Source organism: Homo sapiens, chromosome 12 (genome assembly GCF_000001405.40).
Source record: "Homo sapiens chromosome 12, GRCh38.p14 Primary Assembly".
Classification (NCBI taxonomy): domain Eukaryota; kingdom Metazoa; phylum Chordata; class Mammalia; order Primates; family Hominidae; genus Homo; species Homo sapiens.
In genome coordinates, this window is record NC_000012.12 from 55,293,145 (window position 1) to 55,298,571 (window position 5,427).

The window sequence follows — 5,427 nt, forward strand, 5'->3', positions numbered from 1 at the left end:
ATGGCCCCATAATATTATAATACCATATTTTTATTGTACCTTTTCTGTGTTTAGATATGCTTAGATGTATAAATACTTACCATTGTGTTACAATTGCCTATAGTATTTAATACAGTAACATGCTGTACCAGTTTGCAGCCTAGAAACAAGGGCTATACTATATGGCATAGGTGTGTAGTAAGCTATACAACCTAGGTTCCTGGAAGTACACTTGGATGTTTGTACAACAGAATCACCTAGCGATACATTTCTCAGAAGTATCCCCATTGTTAAGCAATGCATGATCCTATTTTGTTTATGTGTTTATGTCCTTTAAACAATGAAAGCTTCTTAAAGGTACCGATTGAATCCTTCACAATGTCTGCAATAACATAGATTACAATAAATATATGGTGAATTAGTTATCAAATTACATATGCCAAGTTACATTTATACAAGGCATATTTTATTCAAAGTCGTGGTTTCTGAAAAGTGATATGCCATAAAGAGGTGTTATTTAAAAGTTGGATTAAAGAATCGAGGAAAGTGATTGTAGTAGTGTGAAACATTTCATGAGAAAGAATATAATGTAAGAGTGGAACTGAGCTATAAAGTTCTTCAAGAGACTACCCTATGTGAGATAACTCTTAAGGTGGGAGAACATGATCAAAATAAATGTATAAAACATGTTTTCCAGTTTTTCTTCCTTATCAGTTATCAGTTATAGGATAGTCTCTTGAAGAACTTTATGGCTCAGTTCCACTCTAACTTTCTTCGATTCCTTAATCCAACTTTTTTTATATTTATTTTTATTTATTTATTTATTTATTTATTTTTTGAGACAGAGTCTCTCTCTTGTCGCCCAAGCTGGTGTGCAGTGGCACCATCTGGGCTCACTGCAACCTCCACCTCCCGAGTTCAAGCTATTCTCTTGCCTCAGACTCCTGAGTAGCTGGGATTACAGGCACTCTCCACCACGCCCAGCTAATTTTTGTACTTTTAAGTAGAGACGGGGTTTCACCATGTTGGCCAGGCTGGTCTCGAACTCCTGACCTCAGGTAACCACCCTCCTCAGCCTCCCAAAGTGCTGTGATTACAGGCATGAGCCACCATGCCAGGCCGTTTTCCAGTTTTTATGGTAAAGTTGTAATTTGTAGCAGATTCTTAAAATGGTCTTTTAGAAAAACACAAATTCTTTTGTAATACATCCCAGAAGACTTCTTTCACCTGCTGGTTTCTGAGAGTATAAATGAAGGGATTTAGTAAAGGGGCAATTGAGGTATAGAGCAAAGCTACACCTTTGGATACAGTCACTCTTTCTTTTGCAGATGGTTTAATATACATAAAGATACAGCTACCGTATGTCATGGAGACAACAATCATGTGGGAAGTACAGGTGGAAAATGCTTTGTTCCTTTGCTGTGCAGAAGAGAATTTCAGAATGGTCTTAATAATGCAAGTGTAAGAGAGAATCACTAATACCAGTGTGACCACAAGTGTCACCACAGCTAAGGTAAAAGACATCAATTCTAGGACATGGGTATCTGTGCAGGAGATCTGCAGAATAGGAGAAGTTTCACACATAAAGTGGTCAATAGTTTTGGAAGCACAAAAATCCAGCTTGAGTCCCATGACCAATGGGGGAAATATGATTAAGAATCCAGTTACCCAAGAGCTAAGTACAAGTTGGTAGCAGACTTTGCTGCTCATAATGATTGGATAATGCAGTGGTTTGCAGATGGCAACGTAGCGGTCATAGGACATGGCAGCCAGGAGGTAAAACTCAGTAACTCCCGGTAAAAGGATAAAAAATAATTGAGTTGCACAATTATTATAAGAAATGGTTTTGTCTCTAGTCACAATGGTTATCAAGAATCTAGGAATACACACTGTTGTGAATATTACTTCCAAAAAGGAGAAATTACGGAGAAAGAAATACATTGGCGTCTTGAGCCGGGGATCCAGCAGGGTGAGGATGATGATGATTAAGTTCCCCATCAGGCTCAAGGTGTAGTTGAGAAATAGAAACAGGAAAATCACAATTTGCAACTGTGGGTCATCTGTCAATCCTAGGAGAATGAACTCTATTTCCATTGATTTGTTCTTCATTTCTCTTTTGTGATCCTTATCAAATCTACATAGAAAGGGAAAAACAAAATTTATACATATATATACATATATGTATTTCTAAAGCAGAAAAAATATATCTTTTTAAATTTATCCATGTGCAAATGGTTTCTCCAGCCTGAAATTGTAGATGACACATAATTACATACCATAGGTGAATTCAAAATTTGCTCTAATCTACTAGTTCTCTTTATAATATTCCTCACAAAGTTTCTTCCAGAACTTGAATAATATATACTTTTGGTAAATATGAATTTTAGCTTATCACTGTCAGATGAACTCTACTCTGCATTTGTAATTTAAACAAAATCATATTAATATTTTAAATTTTTTTCTCTATTATTTCTAACATATCTGTACAAATTATACTATTAGTTTGTCTTTTTATAACGAGTATGAGGATGATGTTTCAAAACCAGGATTTAGGGTTAAATTATAATTCCTGTACTGATCAATGACTATGGCAGCACTGATGCAATAAATAGTTAAAGATCCTCATTTCAATAGTTTTGATATTTTATTTGCATTGAGAATACACCATATTATTAACATTATTTTTATTGGCACTTTTCTATATTCAAATCAACAGTCGTTTAAGAGCTTATGGGACAAACAAATGAAAACATGATAAAATAAAGAAGTTATATATTTTAATAAAAAATTGTGTCTTCTTTTCAATTAACCTTTTTGAAATGTCATTTTATTAGTGTGGCTACATAATTTCGGCTATTTTTTACTTCCTCCATATTCTTTATAACACCATTGAAAATCCCTGAAGACATATTACTTTCTATCCTTTCTACATATAAGAATTCTATTTAGTCCCAGTTTGTAATATTTTTCTGTTATATTAAATGCGTCAGTCTACTTCATTATATTGATGCAACAGTATATGAATAAAACAGATTACAACACTCATTAGTATATAACTATAAAATTAATGTACTATTAAAACACATTTATAAAGCATGAAAATTCAGTAGCCAAATTTAACTCCATGAGTTGCACTTACTGTACATTTGCCTTAATTTCTGATTTTAGACTAAGTTAAAATTATAGTTGACTTACCTTTTTTGGATCTATTATTCATTTCTTTCTGTGTGCACGGAAGAGATGCATGCTAACATAATTAGTGACAATTCTACTCATTTTATGACCACATTTTATTATCCAATAGGCACATTTATTACCAATGATTTTTGTGGGGAGAGGCAATGTGTACGTATTGTGTTTCTGTAGAGAATTTCCACATTTCCTCAACTTCATCCTCACTATAAAGATTGATACTCAGATATTAATAATTTTAATGGACATCTATCTTTCATTCCAAGTAACTTAAACTTTGTGAAATTTTGTTATTACAATTGAGATTGCCAACACTCAAAGCCTCAAACAAGATAGACATATATTCTTTGAAATAAAATAAGATTGGGAAGTGAAAATTAAAATCAAGAAATTATTTGATGAAAGATAAACAATTATTGCAAGAAAGAGATATTCTATATTACCAATTGTGCATTTATAAAATGCTGCAATTTTATCGTTTTTACTTACTATAGACTCAAGGGAATCTATTGAAATAAAACAAAGACAAACTTTTCTCTGGGGGTCAGTGTTACAGAAGCACTAATTATCAGCAATAAAAGACACCACTCTAGGCTACTTTAGCTGAAGAAAAAGTATCCCAGAGGAATATTGTAAGTGATTTAGAAAAATCAATGAGATATTTAACAGTAACATCAGCAGTTCACTGTCCAGGGCAACATCGGACCATCTCAAACTGGTTTACACATATATCGGAATAAACTACTGATACATAAAAAACAAGAATCTTAAAAATGGTATGCTAAGTGAAAGAAACAGATACAAATGATTTATAATCATATAAAAGTACTATATGGTTTCATTTATATGATTCTGGAAAAGACTAAACTACGGGAACAGATATTTGATCAGTAGTTCCAGAGGCAGAAAATTAGCTACAGAAGAGATTAGCTGCAGAAGTTCCCGAAGGGAACTTTTTAGGATAATGAAAATGTTTTGTATCTTGATTGTGGGGGAATTGCATGACTATATATATTTGGCAAAGCACATCAAATGATGTACCCACAAAAGGTGAACTTTTTCATTAAATTCAAACTCGTTCATTAACCATTAAAATTATTTCGATATTATTTGCCTCTTTTTTAACAGGCTATTTAGAAGACTACTTAGGTCTACACTGGCCCATAAGATAGATATATATTAGATATAGATATAGATACAGATATAGATATAGATATAGATATATAGATATAGATATAAATAGAAATATATGGAGACACAGAGAAGAGAGTTGATTTTATACATGCTATATCAACAATGATGCATTGAACGTGGGAGTGCAGATATCAATTTGAGATCCTGGTTTCAATTCTTTTGGATGTGTACCTAGAAGTGGGATTGCTGGATCTTATGATAGCTCCATTTTAATGTTTTTCCCCATGACTGCACTGTTTTCCATTCCCAACAACAGTGTACAATAGTTCTAATTTCTCCACATTCTCCCGAACAATATCTTTTATTTTAAAAGGAAAACATTTATTTTAGGTTCAGAGGTACATCTGCAGGTTTGTTATATAGGTGAATTGCATTTCATGGGGGCTTGGTGTACAGATTATTTTGTCACCCAGGTAATAAACATAATACCCAACAGGGAGTTTTTCAATCCTCACCCTCCCCCTACCCTCTACCCTCCAGTAGGCATTGGTGTCTGTTGTTACCTTCTTTGCATCCATGTGTACTCAATGTTTAGCTCCCAGTTATAAGAGAACACAAGGTATTTGGTTTTCTGTTCCTGCATTAGTTCACTTAGGATGATGACCTCCAGCTCCACCCATGTTGCTGCAAAGGACATGATCTTGCTCTGTATTTATGTCTGTGTAGTATTTCATGGTGTATATGTACAACATTTTCTTCATCCAGTCTACCGTTGATGGGAATTTAGGTTGATTCCATGTCTTTGCTATAATGAATAGTGCTACAATGAGCATACACATGCATATATCTTTATGGTAAAACAATTTGTATTCCTTTGGGTATTTACCCAATAATGGGATTGCTAGGTCAGTGCTGGGATAACTGGCTAGTCATATGCAGATGGAAACCACATCCCTTCCTTACACCATATACTAAAAACAACGCAAGATGGATTGAAGACTTAAATGTAAAACCTAAAACTATAAAAACCCTGGAGGATAACCTAGGAAATAACACTTTGGACATGGGCCCTGGCAAAGATTTAATGATGAAGACACCAAAAATAACTGGAACAAAAACAAA

General features: G+C 33.8%; 1 protein-coding gene across 1 annotated transcript; it reads right to left on the reverse strand.

The window, feature by feature from the left end:
• Positions 1-843: 843 nt before the first annotated feature.
• On the reverse strand, positions 844-3,425 carry OR6C6 (olfactory receptor family 6 subfamily C member 6). Its single transcript, NM_001005493.2, has 2 exons — positions 3,175-3,425; positions 844-2,113 (listed from the first exon to the last, which is right to left on the reverse strand). The coding sequence occupies exon 2, from the start codon at positions 2,086-2,088 to the stop codon at positions 1,144-1,146; it is 945 nt and encodes a 314-aa protein (NP_001005493.1). The 5' UTR covers positions 2,089-2,113; positions 3,175-3,425; the 3' UTR covers positions 844-1,143.
• Between the last annotated feature and the right edge of the window lie 2,002 nt (positions 3,426-5,427).